This window comes from Homo sapiens, chromosome 7 (genome assembly GCF_000001405.40).
Source record: "Homo sapiens chromosome 7, GRCh38.p14 Primary Assembly".
In the NCBI taxonomy this organism is placed as follows: domain Eukaryota; kingdom Metazoa; phylum Chordata; class Mammalia; order Primates; family Hominidae; genus Homo; species Homo sapiens.
In genome coordinates this window covers 38,496,490-38,515,788 of record NC_000007.14, presented here as the reverse complement: position 1 = coordinate 38,515,788, position 19,299 = coordinate 38,496,490, and the positions used below count along the sequence as shown (strand labels likewise).

The window sequence follows — 19,299 nt, the reverse complement described above, 5'->3', positions numbered from 1 at the left end:
GGTTACAACAATTTAATGAGTCTCTAGGAAGTTCCAAACTTTCCCTCATCTTTCTGTCTTCTTCTGAGCCCTCCACATTCTTCCAACCTCTACCCAATACCCAGTTCCAAAGTTACTTCCATATTTGCAGGTATCTTTATAGCAATGCCCCACTGCTTGGTGCCAATTATTCATATTATTTCATTCTCTCACTGCTATGAAGAACTACCTGAAACTGGGTAATTTATAAAGAAAAGAGGTTAAATTGGTTCACAGTTCCACAGTCTGTACAGGAAGCATGGATGGGGAGGCCTCTGGAAACTTACAATCATGGTGGAGGGTGAAAAGGAAGGAGGCATATCTTACTTGTCTGGAGCAGGAGGAAGAGAGTGAAGGAGGAAGTGCTACACACTTTTAAACAATCAGATCTCATGAGAAGTCACTATTATGAGAATAGCAAGGGGGAAGTCCACCCCCATGATCCAGTCATCTCCCAACAGGTCCCTCCTCCAACATTGGGGATTATTGTTTAACATGAGATTTGGGTGTGGACACAAATCCACACCATATCAATCACCCTCAATTTCTACATTCCATAAAGTCCGCTGGGCATGGACACAACTCAGCTAAGGTCTTTGTTACTGTATAACAAGGATTCCCTTTTCTTCAGGTTCCAATGCCTTGTTCCTCTTTTTTGTCTGAGACATCACCAGAATGGCCTTTACTGTCCATATTTTTACTATGATTCTGGTCACAACCACCTAAGTAATCTCTAAGGAGATTTAGGTTTTTCCTATAGCTCTCCTCTTCTGAGCCCTCACGAGAATCACCCTTAATGCTCTGTTCACAGCCATAAATGCTCTTTTTAGCCTGCTCCAAACTCTTCCATCCTCTATCCATTACCCAATTCTAAAGCTTCTTCTGCATTTTCAGGTATTTGTTATAGCAACAGCCCCACTTTCTGGTATAAATTTTCCGTCTCAGTCTGCTGCTACAATAGAATACCACTGACCAGGTAATTTATAAAGAAAAATTTATTTCTCACAGTCTGGAGGCTATGAAGACCAAGGGCGTGGCATCAGCATCTGCTCAGACATTGGCAGAAGGACAGAAGGTGAAAGCAAGTACACAAAACGGAAAAGAAGTCAGGCCAAACTCATCTTTAATACCAGGAGCCCACTCCCATGATAACTAGGCCACTCACATGATAATGGCATTAATCCATTCATGAAGGTGAAGCCATCATGGCCTAATCACCTCATAAAAATCCTACCTCTCAACACTGTTACAACGGCAATTAAATTTCAACATGAGTTTTGGCAGGGACATTGAAACCATAGCATATACTCTTAGTTGTAGCTGTAAATTTCTGCAGGAGTTCTTTAATGTTGAAAACCATCTTATTGTGTAAATATTTTCCAAATTTTAAAGTGTTTCATCTTAGTATTAACTTTTAAGGAAGTTTTTAGGTTATTTGATAGATGATATCATGTGGAGGCCCATTTAAAACAATAGCAGGTAACTATTGAGGCATGAATTTGCTATGGATTTACTGAGTGTGTTCTGCATGCCAGGAATTGATCTAGCTATTCCAGAAACTTCAGTGAACAAGACAGACAAAGGTCGTTGCCATTGTGGATCTTACATTCCAAAACAGGGAGGCAGACAATAAATAGAGCACAATTACTAAGTAGATTATACTGTCTGCTAGAAAATGATGAGAGCTATAGAAAGAAAACCAAGTAAGGCAAGAATAAGCAGAGCAAAGGGAATGGTATTTAGAGGCCTGGAGGCAGCAATTTTCAAGTTTTGCCTTTTGAAGCAAAGGGGGGTCAAAGACCAAGACTATAGCTGGGAGAAGGAGTGAGGGTCAAAAGAACATTTTCTTAAGAAGGCAGAAATATGTGAAAGGGACTCATTTAGACCAGAATGAAAATGTGGTGATTCATCAGACAAAGGGAAGAACAGCTGATCTGTTCCCTTGAGTAGGCAGGAGGAGAAAGTATCTAATACACAACTGAGGAATTGACTTGAGCTAGGAGCAGGACACTTTTTTTAAGGTAACAGAGAATAAATTCCCTATACACAAATCTTTATCAAAAGGATTCTTCATTGACTCAAGGCATTGTACAAGGCACTGAAAGAAATGAACAATTTAGAGAAAAATTTCTGTTTTGGTCAAGCTTGTGGTCTAGTGCACAAAAGTCTTCTTTCTTTTGAAGCAATTAAAGTAGTAGGGAAAAGATACAGAATCTCTTGATGATGTCACTATACTTCCATAATTATGATATATTTTGATATCCTAGTTTCATCACTTGTCATTTGTGCATGAGTATTCTCTCAACCCAATTGGTATTCTTTGAAGAAATGATTTCTATACCTTTCCACAATCCCATTTTCAGCTAGACTTCCCAGGTTCAATGGGTGTCTCCTGTTCGTTTCTGCAAAAATCATCACCCTGTAAAGCTGTTCACATAGCTTGCTAAATAGTATGAAATTGTTGTGTGATTGGCTATGAGATTCTTAGTTTAATTTAGATATAGTTGTATTCATTATATGGCAAAAAACAAGAGAATGTGGCCACTGAGCTCTTAGTTAAGACTGCCACTCTCCTTGGTAATATTATTCTTATTGGAAATATGTGTTTTGATTACACAATCTTGATTTAAAGTTTTTAAAATATAAGTATAAACGGCTATGATTGCCAATAAAATTGACTTCTGTGGGAGGGAGCAGATAGTGGAAACCTGTAGGTGTCAAAAGAATGTAACGGCCCTTGCTTTTCAAACTGTTCTGCATTTATCTATAGTCTTTCTATTTATTTCATTTCCATCACATCCAATAAATCTCCTCTTTCCTCACTGGCAAGTAAGTCTGCCTACTTCATGGGAATTGTAGGGTGTTGCTGTCCATGGTGCCAGACAGGAGGAAGAAAACAAAAACTTGTTACATTTGTTTAACTTGTTTATCTGTTAACCTCTTTATTCTTATTTATTTTATTTCATCAGTAAGAGCATCTCTTCAGTTCTGGCCTATCTAAATGAAAAGCCTTAATTTAAGCGGAACTAAAAATTGACCCAGTCAAATTGCAGATGTCACAGACATTACTGTGCCATTTCCTATGAAGCCTGTCCCCAGTTTAAGAAATCACTCCTAGAGGAAGCTCTTCATGTTATTTCTCTGATGGTTTCCTTTTATCTGTCCTATTCTGTTACCCGCTTTAGTTGCATTTTACCCTACAATATTAATTAACCATGCCAACTAGGGAGGGTTTAGAGTCCCATTCCTCAGCATTTATTTAGAGACTAATTCCATATATTTTCCACTTCCCCTTGTGAATTAAACTCATTATTTAGTTTGGATGCATCTGTCTCAATGATTCCCAGGTTGACTGTACCATTCTGGTAATGGGATGCAGAGAATGAGGCATATCTCTCATCCAAGCCCAGGGAGACTATCGGAAATGGTTTTGAACAACTGCAGAAATGAGCTGCAGTTGGTTTTCAGATTTGCATGAGTTTTATTGGTTCCCATTGATGGTGATTCTCTCTTATAAGTCACCTTGTAAGCCCCAACATGGATTTTGCCATTGGCATAGCAATCTAAAGGAAGGACATACACTAGAAGGAATGTCTTATGGTGACTGACTGAAACCTGGAACCAGACATATTTTTAAGTGTCTTTTTAGGGATCTCATACTAGAGCTACATACACACTTAAGTGTCCATTAAGTGACAGACACAGTGAAAAAAATTAAAGTTTCCCAATAACCATCACCTGGAGGCTTTTTAAAATACAGATTCTTGGGTCCTATTTCAGACTTATGAGTCAAGTCACACATTTGACTTGTGTCTCTAAAGAGTCGTTCTATGATGTTAACCACTTGGATATAAGCCTGAGATTGCACACATATAATAAAGATAATGGCTTCTTTGATTGCATATCTGCTGGAATATGTTCCCAAACCTGATTAGTTATAAGAATCTTCCAAGGGGCTTTAACAATTTCCAAATTTCCAAGCCTTATTTGACTGGCTTAGGCAAAAGCAGTGACAAAGTATTTTTATATTGAAGACTTTCTACAAAGGACTTTGACATTTAGAAAGCGTTTTGTATATTATCTACTTGATTCTCATGGCAATCCATAATTACAATTCTGTTTTACGTGAGAAAACTGAGTATCTGTCATAAAAATTTTCATTTTGGAAATGAACTTATTCTTTTTTCCTTTAGTATTCATGCTTTCTTGTTTCCTCAGGCAGTAGTTTATCATATTCCGTTGATTTTTCTCATATCCATTGTTAGTTGGTTCTTTTACATCTGCATAAATTGTTCTTGTATACTCTGGGAGCCTCTATTACTGCAATATTCAAAGCTATAAAATAACTTTCTGAAAAATATAACTGTGTCTTTGATACTTAAAAGTACAAATGAAAAAACAAGGAAGCATTATAAATTCCCAAGTAGCTTGTTTTGGGAGGGTTTTTCATCATGCATCTTCCTCATGAAGATATTCGTTTGCAGTATGACATGTAGCAGAACTTCGGTCAATCAAGCATTTATGAAACACCTACCCTTTGCATAATTTATCATTTACAAAGTGTTAGTTGAGTGATAATAGTGTTATCCAGCATTTCCTGAGTGCATGATATGTGCCAGGCACTCAGCAGATACTTTATGTAACTCGTCTCCCTCAACCTTCATGATAGCTCTAGGTGGTGGGTACTGTTATCATCCTCATTTAATAGATGAGGAATCGGAGGCCTAGAGAGATTAAGTAACTTGCCCCAAGTTGCATGGTTAGAAGTGGCAGAGCTCAGATTTTAAGGCCAGGAAGTGTGATCTCAGAGCCTGTAGACTTAACCACTCTGTGATATGAATCACATGGAATAAACTCCATGGAATTATGGGACTTTGAGAAAAACTAGTGAACAATTGATATCTTTATTCACAGATGAGGACTGTATCCTGAGAGCATGGAGAATGGTGCCTTTGGTTACATTATCCTCATTTATCAACAGTTGCTTCTTGTTGGGCAGCTTTATCCTTCATCATCCTTTACAGCCTGGGGCACAGAGGTGGGAGAGCAGGGGTCAAGCTGGTGGGCTCTTGAGGCGGATCATACGGCTAAAATAACTCAGCCTGCCTGAATTCCAATTCTGGCTTACCACCTATTAGATGTGTGACTTTGGGCAAGTTCTCAGCCTCTGTGCCTCTGTTTTCTCATAATAATGTGCCAACCATATGCAATTATTGTGAGGAGTATGAGCTACCAGAATTGTGAAACTTAGAACCATGCCTGGATCAAAGTGGCCACTCAGTAGGTGTTAGACTTTGTGATTATTTTGCCAGATCAAAAACTTTCATTGTTACATCATGGACTGAATTGTGTTCTCCTCAGAGTCATTAGCTGAATTCCTAATCCCCAGTACCTCAGAATGTGACTGTTTTGGGACATAGGGCCATTAAGGAGGTGATTAAGGTTAAGTGAGGTCATATATGTGAGCCTTAATCCAGCAGGACTGGTGTCCTCATAAGAAGAGGGAGAGGCAACAGGGACGCACGCACACAGACAAAAAGCCACACGAGGACACAGCAAGAAGGTGGTCATCTGCAAGCCAAGGAGAGAGGCCACGGGGGGAAACTGCACCTACCAACACCTTGATCTTGGACTTTCAGCCTCCAGAACTGTGAGAAAGCCACTTGGTCTGTGGTTTTGTGTTGTGGCAGCCCAAGCAAACTAATACAGACATCATAAATGGCAGTTTCAGAAACATTCTGGCTGTTGATTAGGCCTGGAGTAATGATAGCTAAGGCCCTTCCTTCTCTACCATCAGTGCATCTCTGTGCCTTGACACAGCAGTTGTTTTTCTAGTCCTTGTACGTGCTGTCTGATTTGGTCACGATAGAATGTTATAGATAGAGCTAGCATCTATACCCACAGCAGGAGACACCGAACAGCAAGTCACAGGAGGAGTTGCTACTGGAAGTGGGGCTCCTTTAAAGTCGCCCTTGATTTTTGGGTCAGCTCTCCGTGCTTCTCCCCTACCAGTATATTAAATACTGTGCTCTAGCTATTAAGGTAAAGGCTGAAAAGATTTTAAATAATGCCCATGATGCACCTTATAAGTCAAGTCTCCTCACACACAGAGAGAAAAACAACTGAGTGGTTTTTCAAGGGTCACAAATTCAAGGCAATAAAGCAGATCTTCCAGCTGTATCCAGTCTGCATGCTGTGATGATTTGATGGCGGTTTAACACACTATGGGTTAGCTTTTCCAGAAGATCCGAATGGAGATCTGTATAAACTCAAAAAAGTTAGTTGGCTTAAGGGAAATAAATGGAGAGATTGTACATATGATTATTAGCTAGATTTCTAACTTTGTTTTGTTGAAGCTAGAAAGTATGTGATCATCAGTCTTCAGATCGTAGATATTCCTGGAATTGGTGACAGGGATAGTTGGAAATTGGGCCACGAATCTTGGATAAAACTGTGGAAACTGAGATGTTCTCTTTGACATTTCTCTTCCTTCCATGCACTCCCTGCCTCATCATCCCAGGAATATGACTGCAAATATCCAGTCTTATTTCATCTTTATCTTGTATCTTCTGCATTAATATCTGTGAAAAAAAGAAATAAAAGAAGAGGAATTGTTTTATGAAGTCAGTGCTGGGTTCTTAATGACAGACAGCTCCAATAGTGCACAGAGCTCAAAGCAAGGAAACAGAAATGTAAATTTCAGAGACCCTGGGCGCTTTTACATCTTCCCATTTAACAGCACCTGAACTTTTCATAGGGAGAGCTCTATTTCTTAGTAAGCCAGGAGTGCCTGTAGTGCTCAGTGGCCTAATGTCTTTGATCATAAGTGGATTCAAATATTATGTTATTAGTCATCTGTTAATCAAGGTGCTGATTATGGCCTCATTAAATCTCATCTCCTTGATAATCTAATTTTCTTCTAAGCTTCAAAAATGATCAGCAAGTTTATTATCATTGCTTTCAAGATTGAGTTAACCTGTCTGAACTCTGAGAAATTGAGCCAGTTTTAATTTTGATATGTTACTTCAGCCATTTTCAAGAGAAAAATGTCATCAAAGGCCAAAAATAATAATGTAACTCTGGGAATGTCTATAGGCTTATGATCACAGATGAGATGACAGGACTCACCTTTGTAAAATTGCAACTTTATGAAGTTATGTCTCCTAAGATCCACCTTTCATGCAGATGTTAGTACTGCTGGCTTTCCACCTGAGCCCTTTTCAAAATGTCAGCTTACAGTTTCTGAGTTGGAGAGGCAACTTAATGAAAAATTTTTCCATACCGTGTGTGATATTTTCTTCCTCTTGTCTTTCTTTTTCTTTTTATAACAAAAGTTACTTATAAACATAAGTTAGTGCTACACTGACCATATATTAACAAGCCAATTCAACAGGCCATTGCCTATTTAACAGGTATTAAACTCCTATTGCTTTGAGATATTTTCCAGACCTGCTTAACCTTAATAATAAAATCCACAGGGTTTGTTTTTTCTTGTGCATTTGGGGCCATAGTGATGCACACCCCTGCCCCGGGGTGTCATGCACATGGTAGTAGGTAGTACATGGGAATGGTGCCCCTAAATTGTGCAGTGGTTGCTGCTGCCCTAAGTTTAGTTCCTTAGAAATCATTAATTCATTCTATGAATTTTGTCCACAACTAAATTAAATTAATGCCTCAACTATGGCTCCTTTCTTCTGGGCAGAAATAACTGAGTTAAAGGTAAACTAACAAAATTATACCTTTTTAAAGACTCTTGAAGTCTTGGCATATGTATTTACTAATATTAATATATTGCAGCGCTTCAGAATTTAGTGTATCTAAACAAAAAACAGCTTGACTCAATAATTTCCCACACCCGTTGCACCTTCATGCAGTTGGATCTTCTCTAAGAAGGAGTATTACTAGGCAATTCAGACAACTTAATTATAATAGACTCCCCTGCCCTCCTGTTGCCATGATCCCTGTGACCAGGACATAGAACAATAATTTCCTGATGTCTTGTAGAAAATGATATAAAGAAACAAGAAGGGAAAATACAGGCATATAATCTCAAGGGTGTAGAACTTTGTTTTCTGCACACACATGTGCAATACATAATTCACGGCTGAATTACTAAAATGATACTTTACAAAGGGATTTGGAATCAGCTTCAAATTCAGTGAAATCTGAGCAATGTTATAAGAATTTGTTTAATTTCAAACATCTGCTATTCCTGCAGAATAACAATCTTAAGGAAATTTTATTGTGCAATAAGTTTTGTACAGGAGAAACTACTTTATGGCATATTGTAGGTGGAGGATTTTTCTCCAGAGCTTTTTACCTTTTTGATTAAGGTAGAATTTTAGATGAAATTCAGTGTGGCTATTACTGAGTGATTCATGAAACCGAAATACTCATGGGGAAAATTAAGAATTTTAATAATTGGAAAAGAAGAAAGTCATTTAAATCAGCCTTTAGTTTATCTGCTTAATTTGAACTCATTTATTAAGCAATTATTGTACAATTTTGAACTTTGTTCCACTCTTATATAAAAAATCTCTTCTAGATTTCTTATTTCATTTAAAAAAAAACTCTGCAGTGTTTCCCTTCGACAAGATGAATCCAGTATATGGATTGGAGCCTGAATTATTTCACTTTATTTCTACTGAAGGAAAAGGCAATTAGTTAATTGTGGGGTTAATTTCACATAACTTTGTTCCTTGAACATTTGAGAAAAGAATGCCCTTCCCTGCTACTTTTTTGCTATTTCTGGATATTCTGAGCAATCCTGGTGACTCATAACCATCCCTTTTCATGGCCGGCTCTGTATAACTGAGGGAACACATCCTTCTGGGTGAGAAGTGAGCCTTGCTTAACTCGGTGTCCCTCACACATTTCCATGGAAGGACCATGACTGGTACAGCAGAATCCTAAAGCAGACAGCTGAAAGCAGCAGAAATCTGTGAAGTTCTGTGTTTCATCCCCATGCTATTTTTTTATCCGACTTCTTAAGAGGTGGCTTAGTGGTTGTAAAATAATGGTTTCTCTTCCATTTCTTTCCCTTCACCTCAATAAATTGATGTTCCAGACAGATCTTTTAGCTTTGTTTTGTGGATGTATGTGCCCTAGACAAACCACTAAATGCCCCCAGATTCTACAATTATCTAGTTTGAGAAATGTGGCCTTAATGGATTCAAGCCCTCCTAATTGTACCTTTTAGGGCTTTTAGGCTTTAGATTGGTTTGGGTCTATATTTGTCCAGGTAAATTTCAGATATTATTCTCTCTTAAATTATCTGAAATCTGATGGGACAAATGATTCTGGAGCTTGCTTCTCTCTCAGTTCCATTCTATCTCTTTCCGTTGCTTGACCACCACTTGGGCTTCCATTTGTGAACCGTTCAGTTTGTCCTTCATCTTTCCAGTTTGATTTTTCTGAAATGTTTCTGTAAATGCTTTTATTTCTTTTCTGTTCACTAATTCTATTGGGCTTTTTATTGTTGTGGTTAGATTTCAGCCTCTCTCCACATTTCAGCATTTCCTCTGTTGATGGTGAATCATTTTACTGGGCAGTTTGGGCTAGGTTATGCCATGGTAGCAACATCTCAGTGGCTTTCAACAACAGAGGTTAGTTTCTCACTCATGAAAATGCAGGTGGTGGCTGTGCTCTGTGGTCCCTTCACTCTGGGATCCAGATTGAAGAAACAAATTCTGTATGGGGAGAGGAAAGAAATGGCAGGAGCATGTGATGGCTTTTATAGCTTCAGCTTGAAAGTAGCACATGTTACTTCCACTTAAGTTTCATTGTCTACAGTCCTACAGCCAAGCCTGATGTCGCTGAGGCAGGAAGTATGATCTTTCTCCAATGACAGATCTGGTAGGGAGTTGCAGCATAGATTGACAATAAAATCTACCAAAGCCATATTTTTTCCACTATTTATGTACTCAGAATGTGACACAATGCTCTCATATAATGGATATTTAGTAGGGGAAAGACCCACTTCTTTTGTTGCAATATGCTTTTCTTGGTGGTATTGAGAACTTCATCCTGACTTCTCTGGGTCCTCTTCATCGACTGCTTTTACTCAAGTGTTTATCATCAGCATTTTCTCTTTATTCTCCTCTTCCTCTCTCTGGAAATAGTTTTCTACTACACTTTGCTGTTTGGAACCCCACCATGATTTGCTTTATTTTCTCTAGCTGATGGAAGTTTGCCATCACACAAACTTTCTGCATGTTTCAACAAGGGAATAGAAACCTTGAGTTTTGATTTAAAACCATGTTGAGACACTAGAAAGGGAGTCAATTGTTTAGCACTTTGATTTCTGCTTTGCCATTCTGAATAGAACCATTCTGTTTGAAGTTCATACGTGCCAGCAAATGGACTCATCCTAAGCTTTTGTCTGGTAGTAACCGGGTTTATAGAGCTGCAAAAATAACCTGAGCTTAACTCAAATACAGAATACCTCACCTGAGTGTTACATAGATTTCAAGGAAATAATGCCACTATACCTGCACAATGCAAGTGTTATATGGAAAATATCCTAATTCAGAATCCCTTTTGCCGTCAAGCATAGTCTTAATTATTTCTTGTCAGTTTATTTGTATTAATCATTATCTTTAAATGTGATGGACATTTTGTTTTTGTACTTCAACACTTTGAATGGCTGTTGCAATGCTAAATGTAATATGCCTTGCAGTGCAATTGTTTTGTTTTTTGCTTATATATTTTAGCTCCCCCACTAGATTATAATGAGGAAAGAGGGTCCCCCCACCACCACTCTTTTGGGCAAATACTAACAATGTTTGTTAAATTGAACATGGCTATTGAAGTTGCTGTCCTATTATTGAGCTCAAGGTGGAGTCCTGTATGCTAGCTCTCTGCAATTTTGTTAAATGACTATGCAATTAAAATGCATGCATGTTTTAAATCGACTTTCAGTTGTAGAGTCATAGCAGCTACTGTTGGTGCTCAGACATATGCCCCTAGTACCTTTTTCTGAGCCCACAAGACTGACGTGCCAGCATTGGCAACTCTTTGCCTGAGGGCTTCTCTGGTTTCTGGAGCCCTCTCTGCTTCTATATAGATATATTGGGGAATTAATGTCCCCTAGGAGCAGCTCTAGAAACATAGCTGACAGGAGATATTGGATAAACGCCTCAGCTTCCTCGCCTTTCAGTTAGGGTATCTATAGGGTGTTTCATTGACACTGTCTTCCAGAGTTCCCGAGTGGAACTGAGGTCCAGTTGCCCACAGTGGTAACTTGCTTGATAACGCTGTCTGTATCAGCTATCTTCCCTTCTCTGCCTCACTTCTCTACTCTCCTATTGGCATTTCTTTGACTAACTCCAAATTAAACTATTTGCAGTCTCATCCTAGTTTCAGAGAGTCTCGGAGTTTCTAAAAAAGTATCCAAACCAAAACAGGCATTCATATGTCAACATTTACAATTTAACAGTTTCTCTATTTCAATGCAGTCCAATAAAAATATAATGCAAACTACATAGTTTAGAATTTTCTAGTGGCTACATCCTTAAAGTGAAAAGAAAGAGATGAAATTTTAATAATGTAGTTTAACTCAATATACCCAAAATATTATTGTTTTAACATGTAATCTATATAAAATTAATGAGGTTTTTCTGGTACTCAGTCTCTAAAATATGTTGTATAAAATACAGTTACACTGTAAATGGAAAATACCCTTACAGTACATCTCAATTGCAAGTACTCAACAGCCATATGTGGCTTGTGGCTACCATGTTAGATAATGGTGATCACTTCCCTGCTATTATAACCCATGTGTCAAAATCTAGAAATTTGATAGCTCTTGAATTAGAAGATGTGTAATGAATTGTATTATCTATTAGCAAAATCTTGCCTTCTCCTTTTGCTCTTTGAAGTGGAACAAAATTTCTATAAATATCTAGACTGATGGACATTATTGCCTTGTTTAGTCTGTGTCCACATATTTATGTTTTTTTCCAAGAATGAGCTTCTGGCAATAGTAACTTTGAGACTTAGCACTTCTTACATGTTTTCATGCAGAATATAGACTAGATATTTAGCATCTGTGCTTGTGTTTTTTAGGCAGAGGGTACCAGACTTCAGCGAGAACTCCGAGGATATTTAGCAGCAATCAAAGGTAATGTGTATGAGTTGTTTACTGCATGTTACTTAGCACAGGTTGTTCTTGGAATTCATGAGTGACAGGATTGAGTGTTAATTACAAAGCCATTTGGCTTCCTGGCAAGATGGATGCTTGAACACAGGTGTTCCATTCCACCACCCACCCCCCCGCCCCAAATTCCCATTGAAATGATAATCAGAATATATAAGGAAAAAATATGTGTGCCCTTATGCTGGAAACTAGAAATAAATGCCACCCACATGCCAGAGATTTCCAGGAAAATTTCTTAGAGTGAGCTTGAGACCTTGTTTAAGAAAAGCTGCAGCCGGCTTACCTCCTGAGGGAGACCACATGCCAAGAGTGGAGCACTCACAGACACGCACCTAAGCCCTCTCACTGGAAGGGGCAAGACATGGTGGCAAAGGTAGGTGGAAGATGATCAGCAAACATGGCCCTGGACTGGCTTTGACTTGTGTGGATTAGCAGCGCTTGCATCCCTACCGACGTGCAATGCACAGGCATGGAGAGGCCCTAGCATGAGTTTCTGGACTCAGCCATGTAAGGCAAGGAAATGAGGCCACTGGAGGAGGGAGAAGAGAGCAATAGGGAGGTGGCTCAGCCTGTGCCTGCTATCCATCATCACGCTGCCTGCCCTGAGTCACAGCCAAGTGTGCCCACGGATATGATGTATCATAAGGCAGATTTTGTGGGGAAAGAATGGATCATCTGACAAGGGGTATTGGGAAAACTGGCCAAACACTTAGAAAACAGAGTGAAATTCTCAACCTCACGCTTTACTCCCTCCTTCCTAATTCCAGATATAGTAAAGATGTAAATATGTTGTTGTACTGGACTCTATTAACTTCAGTAGGGATGGCACCAGGTTCAAGGGGCCGAAGAAGGGACCCAGAGTCAGCAAACAAGACACAGGGTTTTATTAGTGGGAAACTTACATACAGAGTGGGCCCAGTCATGGCAGGGCTGGGCAGGAGTATTGCACAGCCAAGTGGTGGCAGGCTGGGCAGGAGAACTACATCCGTTTGCAAAAAGCAATGCAGTTTCTGTAACATTTTTGCTTAGCATCCTCTACCTAACAACCTCCACCTGGCAACCTTCGTTTAACCCAAAACACATGGCCTCAATCCCCTGTATGACTCACCTTCAATGGGACAGGCTCAGGGCTCAGGTGTTCCTTGTAGACAAGGAATTAATCTCTCGGTTGGCCACTCCCAGATTCCTTAGCTCAGAACTCTGAGCACATATTCAGGTGCATCTACCATACAGGGTGATTCTCAGGGGATGCCTAAGTTATCACTGTCAGGTGTGTCTGCTATGCATCGCTGTGCAAAGAAATGTGCTAAAGTACTAGAATAAAATACAGTAAATTTAGTCTCTAGGCTGTAGAGAAGGTCTTTATAAGGGTTACTTGCAAGGCAGAAACCCATAAATCTCTCCATAAAGATGAAGAGATTTGATGTCGTAAGTATGTAAAACTTAATATGTTTTTTAAAAACACCATTTTGACAACATAGTGAAAGTAAATCAAGATATAAAGAGCTCAGTGAGTAAACTAAATGAAGGTCAGTTGGTTAAATTAAAAATGGGCAGAAAACTCTAAGGGAAAATTAGCCAAAGTAGAACTATAGATGGATGATAAACGCAAAAAAGCCTTATCCTCATGAATAATCAAATAATATTAAGTAGCATTGAAAAGAAGATTTTATCATTTTTCCTCCAAATGTTCAAACACATTACAAATAAAATACTGTCATATTTAGAATTGGTAAAGCTCTGGGAAGTGGACTCCATTCATGTATTGCTGGGAGGATAGCTTTTCTGGAGAGCATTTGGTAAAATCTTTTATTTATTTATTTATTTATTTATTTATTTATTTATTTGGTATGCTTTTTAACATACCAGTTTCATTCTAAGAATTTATTCTCACAGTTTTAATGTGGATGTATAGAACTGAATATAAACATGTTATTAAATAATGAAATAATAAAAATATCAATAATTTAAAAATGGCCAAAATAATAAAAATTAGCAAAATTGATTTTTAAACTAAAAGATATTTATGAATTTTATAGTCCAGGCATATCATTTTAATTCTCATGGCAGCTCTATAAGGCAGGTAGTTTTATTATCTTCATTTTATAGATAAGAAAGTGAGTTACAGCCAGGCACAGTGGCTCACACCACCTTTAATCCGAGCACTTTGGGAGGCTGAGGCGAGTGGATCACTTTAGGCCAGGAGTTCAAGATGAGCCTGGGCAACATGGCAAAACCCTACTGAAAATACAAAAATTAGTCAGGTGTGGTGGCGCATGCCTGTAGTCCCAGCTACTCAGGAGGCTTAGGCAGGAGAATTGCTTGAACCCGGGAGGTGAAGGTTGCAGTGAGTGGAGATCATGCCACTGCACTCCAGCCTGGGTGAAAGAGTGAGACCCTGTTCAAAAAAAGGAAAAGAAAAAGTGATTTTTTAAAATAGAGTTTAAATAGCTCATCCAAGGTTGCATGCCAAGGAAACAACAGGGCCAGATTGCATATTTCGTTCTGTGTTTCTCCAGAGCCCTGGTTTTATCTACTGTCTTTTACTGCCTTTGAACTACGTGACCAATGGTAAGGCATTGGTTTCACAAGTCAGAGTTCATCTATACAATGGAATAATGGCAACCTACTACTATTACTTTTTCATGAGCACTTACTATGTGTTAGAGTCTGTGCTAAGCATTTTAGGCATATTACCTGTTTCTAACTTCCCAACATAGCCATATTATCAATGTCATTAACTTGATTTTACATTTGCAAAGAAGTAAGTCTCAGAGAATTTAACTTCCACAGTTTGATGGAGCTCATCATTAATTACTCCCAAATCAACCTTAAGTATTTGTAACAGTTCAGTCAGAAAATAGAAGCCACTCTAGGTATTTCTTTTATTATTGATTTAGGATTTGAACACGGAAGTCATTTCAAGCACAGGACTTTTTCTGGGTTAGTTGATTTTTTTGAAAATGTGGATAAGTTTGTTGAATGAAAGAGTGAGTTCTCTTTCCCAAGTCTATTTGATTTGGTCTATGCTGCCTCTTTGGTGTGGAGCGTGCTGCTTATAGAGACTGGCATAATTCTTTTCCTTAATGTGATCTAGAAGAATTCCCTGAGGATGAGGCTTGAGCTCCAGAGAAAAGCTGGGTGAAGCATCAGATAAGCCTTTCTGGCAGACGGCACCTGCACTCCAGGGCTAGTGGCCACAGCTCCATATGACGGAGAAAGGAATTCTATCAGCTTTTCCCCATCTTGGGTTTGCTGATTGACTATGTTAACAAGCGATGCTCCAAAAAAGAGATCTCTGCTTAAATTACTTTGTCCACAGCTGATTGGAATGAATTTTTAAACAGGCTACTACTGAGTTTCTCAGAGCCCTTAATATGCTAAAGTCAACTCAGAAGTCCTGTGGGACAGGCAGGAATTCCAAGTTATTTGACTGCAGGACCCTTCTCTCTTCTCAAAGCCTCGTGAAGAATGAATATTGTTCCTGGGAACACATTTTGGGTTTTGGGACCAAACTTGAAAACAAGGTATATGCCTGTGTTAGTCCGTTCTCACGCTGCTAATAAAGTCATGCCCCCAGACTGGGTAATTTATAAAGAAAAAGAGGGTTAATGGACTCACAGTTCCACATGGCTGCAGAGGCCTCACAATCATGGCAAAGGCAAAGGAGGAGCAAAGGCATGTCTTGCGTGGCAGCAGGCAAGGGAGAGTATGTACAGGGGAACTCCCCTTTATCAAACCATCAGATCTCATGAGACTTATTCACTATCACGAGAACAGCACGGGAGAAACCCGCCCGCATGATCAGTTACTTCCCACCAGGTCCCTCCCACAACACATGGAGATTATTACAGTTCAAGATGGGATTTGGGTAAGGAAACAGAGCCAAACCATATCAATGCCTTAAGTAGATCATAATTTACATTTTCAAAGGCTTTCATGGGCAATTTTTCTTGTTTTCCCAAGGACAACTCTGGCTCACTAATCCTGCTATAACACAGGTAGCATCAGGGCAGCATAGGAGAAAGTGATATTTGGCCCTGGAGGGTCATGGGTCCTGGGGCAATTGTGGGAAAATCATTGAGCCTCTTAGTTGCTTTGGGTTCCTCATCTATTAAATGTTTCAGTTCTCTCAGAAGCCCCTAAAGGCCCCAAAACTGGGATTCTGTGAAGTTGGGTTAAATGAATTCTAATCATTTTATTGTGACTGATCTCTGGGTGGCTTCCCCTCTATGGGTCTTTATGATTTCTGCTGATGCTTAGGCTTTGTGAGGCAGATCTTATGCTTGCATTCATTTTAGCAGCAAACATCTCTGGAGCTCCATTTGTGCACCTGACACTGTTCTAGGAGAGGGAGATGCAGAGATGAACAAGACATAGTGCCTGCTTGCAAGGAGCTCACAGCAGAGTGAGAAGACACTTAAATAAAAAGGCCAGATAGGCATAGTAATATGTATTTTAATAGATACGTGCATTGAGTGCCATCATAACAGAGGACAGATTCACACCTTAGGAGAGGCAAGAGACTGGGGCAGGAATGGTTGTTCCAAGGAACTTACACTTGAATGAACCCAAGAAGTGGGGTCATAGGTGGCCATCAAGTCATTAGGTTTTCTAGAGAAAGATAGATTTCAGAGGGACATTGCAGGTGGAAGAAACAACTGGGCCAGGAAGCAGAAGGAAGCACGGGTTCTTGAGGGAACAAACAGAGCAGTGAGATGCAAGCAGAAAACTGAGCTGGATGAAACATGGAAAGGCAGCAGCATTTATATAAAGAAGTGCTTCATGTATCATATCATATGGGGATTTTATTCTATCAATAGACAGGAGAGTCATTGTTAGAGTTATTGTAGACAAGGGAAAACGTCCCATGATCAGATTAGCATTTTAGAAAAATAGTTATTGTGATTGTGTGGAATTCAGGCTAGAAGAAGTGAAATTGCATGGAGATTTAGTAGAAGTTTAGTCCAATAGTTCAATAATACTATTAGCTAACATTTATTGAGCACTTATATGCTAGGCACTGAGATAAGCATTGACATGTCTCAGTTTATGTAATTTTCCCTACAACCTTGTGGCAGGTTTATTTATTAGTATTTTACCTCTTGGAAAACTGAGGTTATAGATGATTAATAATTTGCCTAAAATCACATGAATCACATGTAATGGAACCAAGCTTTTAACAAAGGCTGATTAATTGCAAATAATAGTCTTAATTATTTTGTTATGTTGCCTCCAAAAATATTTTGTATTGTGATGGCTGACAGTTGGACATTTGCTTGTGCCAACTACTTTGCTAAATCGTGTTATGTGGATTAGGTTATCTAATCTAAATCGTAGGTGATGAGTATCTAATCCAGGGAAGGGCAGTGGGCAGGGAAGGAAGGGGCTAGATTTAAGAATCAGGTGGAATTGGTGACTCAGCTTTGGGAGGATGAATCTGGGATAACTTCTAGTTTTTGAACTGGGGCAACTGGATGGCATTCATGAGAACTGAGAAAAGGAGTTGAAGCAGGTTTGGACAAGAAAATTAAGAGTTTGTTTTTGACATGTGAAGTTTGAGGTATTAGTAAGACATCCAAGTGGAGATGTCCAGTAGGAATTTAGAATTGGGAGTCACTGGCATGCAGGTGCAGCAGAGGCCAGACACAGGGATGATGAACATGCCAGATCTTTCTCTAAATGGAGCACAGTGCACGTGGTGTCATTAATAGTTCTTCATTTATGTGTCTTATGTGTAGGCATGACTAAGGGGTAGGGTTGACTATTCTTGAGCTACCTCACCAACTGCCTATTTTATTCCAACTCTTGTTCCCATCCTTGCTCTCCTTAAGAATCTAAGAAAAAGATGCCCACTCTTGCTTTCCTTTGAGGCAGCTGCTGTCTTTTTACACAGCTCTCGTCTAAGCAATGGGACAAAGCTGCTAGATACTTGCAGTATTTTAGACGTTCTTTTAATGGTTTATCGCTGCTGCTTGTTATCATCGTAATTTATTTTAACTGATGTTATTTTTAACTAAAACACATACTCTCAGGCTATTTAAGCAAGGAGTACTTATAAAGTAGTGCAATCTATGCAACAAGTCTTAAAGGATGAAAATAGAAGCTCACAAATTTGGCTGCAAATGGGAATAGACAATGTTATATGAAATGTCTTGGAGAAGGTCCAAAATTTTGAAAAGAGTGAAGTGGTTCCCATCCAGTAGTAAAATAATAATAATTCTTCTGTATATGATGCTGGGCATTTGTCTTACAGTTTTAGAAATCACTAATCTTTTAAGAAAATTTTGGATATTGTATATTATTCAATCTCGGAGGTAGCATTTAGCACCTTTTCTGCTTTGATGTTCCAAATTACTCTGAAGAGAACTTGTATTTTAGCTTTTTTCGCCCATCATACTCTGTCAGAAGAGTAATCCCTAAATCCCTAAAAGCTCTGCCAGTCTGGAGCTAGGCTTGAAGCCTTTCACCTGTGTATCCATCAAAGTGCATCCTATGGAGTAGATGTTCTCAAAACAATTTCCATGTCAAAATGGCTTCTGTCCAAATGATCCATCACCACTTATCCACCCTGTAATTAGTAGTTCTTTTGGCTGCTAATAGACATATTTACTGCAACATCATGCTTTTAGTCTTGATGATTAAAATCTTATATAATTTTATTTTAAGGTTATATTCATGATTTTATTTTTCATCACAAAGATTATTTGGTCTACAGTGCCAAATTTCTTTTTCTTCTCTTAAGACATTGTTAAAAACCTATCTACACAGTTGTGTATAGTTTCCATCAGACTTAAGACAAAGATTTAAAGAAAATGCCAGAAGTTTTTTGGCATCTGGATTATAGAAGGGGGTCCACTAGTGACTAACGCTTGTTATGAATTTGAGGGGTATATTTCTTGATAGAGATTTGCTTGTACTTGGGTGAGGGTGAATTTGGACACTTGGCATAATGTAGCTTCCACCTCAGTGTTGACCATATCATGAGAGAACGCATCCCCCCTTGCTTGGATTCAGAGTGCGATGGGTTGGATTCAGGTTTTGTCTCCTATTTGCTGTCCCTTCACCTGCACGACTCTGTTTCATCAGAGTCCCCAGAGTCTTGAGTCATACTGTTTTTTTCC

The 19,299-nt window shown here is 38.9% G+C and overlaps 1 protein-coding gene across 8 annotated transcripts in view, besides 1 other annotated feature; it reads left to right on the top strand.

Moving 5' to 3' along the window:
* Window positions 1-19,299, top strand: part of AMPH (amphiphysin) — a 247,670-nt gene that overhangs the window by 115,585 nt on the left and 112,786 nt on the right. For all 8 annotated transcript variants that reach the window (XM_006715690.5, XM_011515271.4, XM_017011996.3 and 5 more), the window contains exon 3: window positions 12,085-12,139. In XM_006715690.5, coding sequence (XP_006715753.1) covers window positions 12,085-12,139 — 55 coding nt within the window. The remainder of the gene's footprint in view (window positions 1-12,084; window positions 12,140-19,299) is intronic.
* Window positions 6,146-6,315: an enhancer, noted in NCBI's record as "experimental_98607 CRE fragment used in MPRA reporter constructs". NCBI's record gives its function as "activates a minimal promoter by MPRAs in K562 erythroleukemia cells, with activity observed for the non-introgressed 7:38549159 variant allele {active_cell/tissue: K562}" and the evidence as "EXISTENCE:reporter gene assay evidence [ECO:0000049][PMID:34662402]".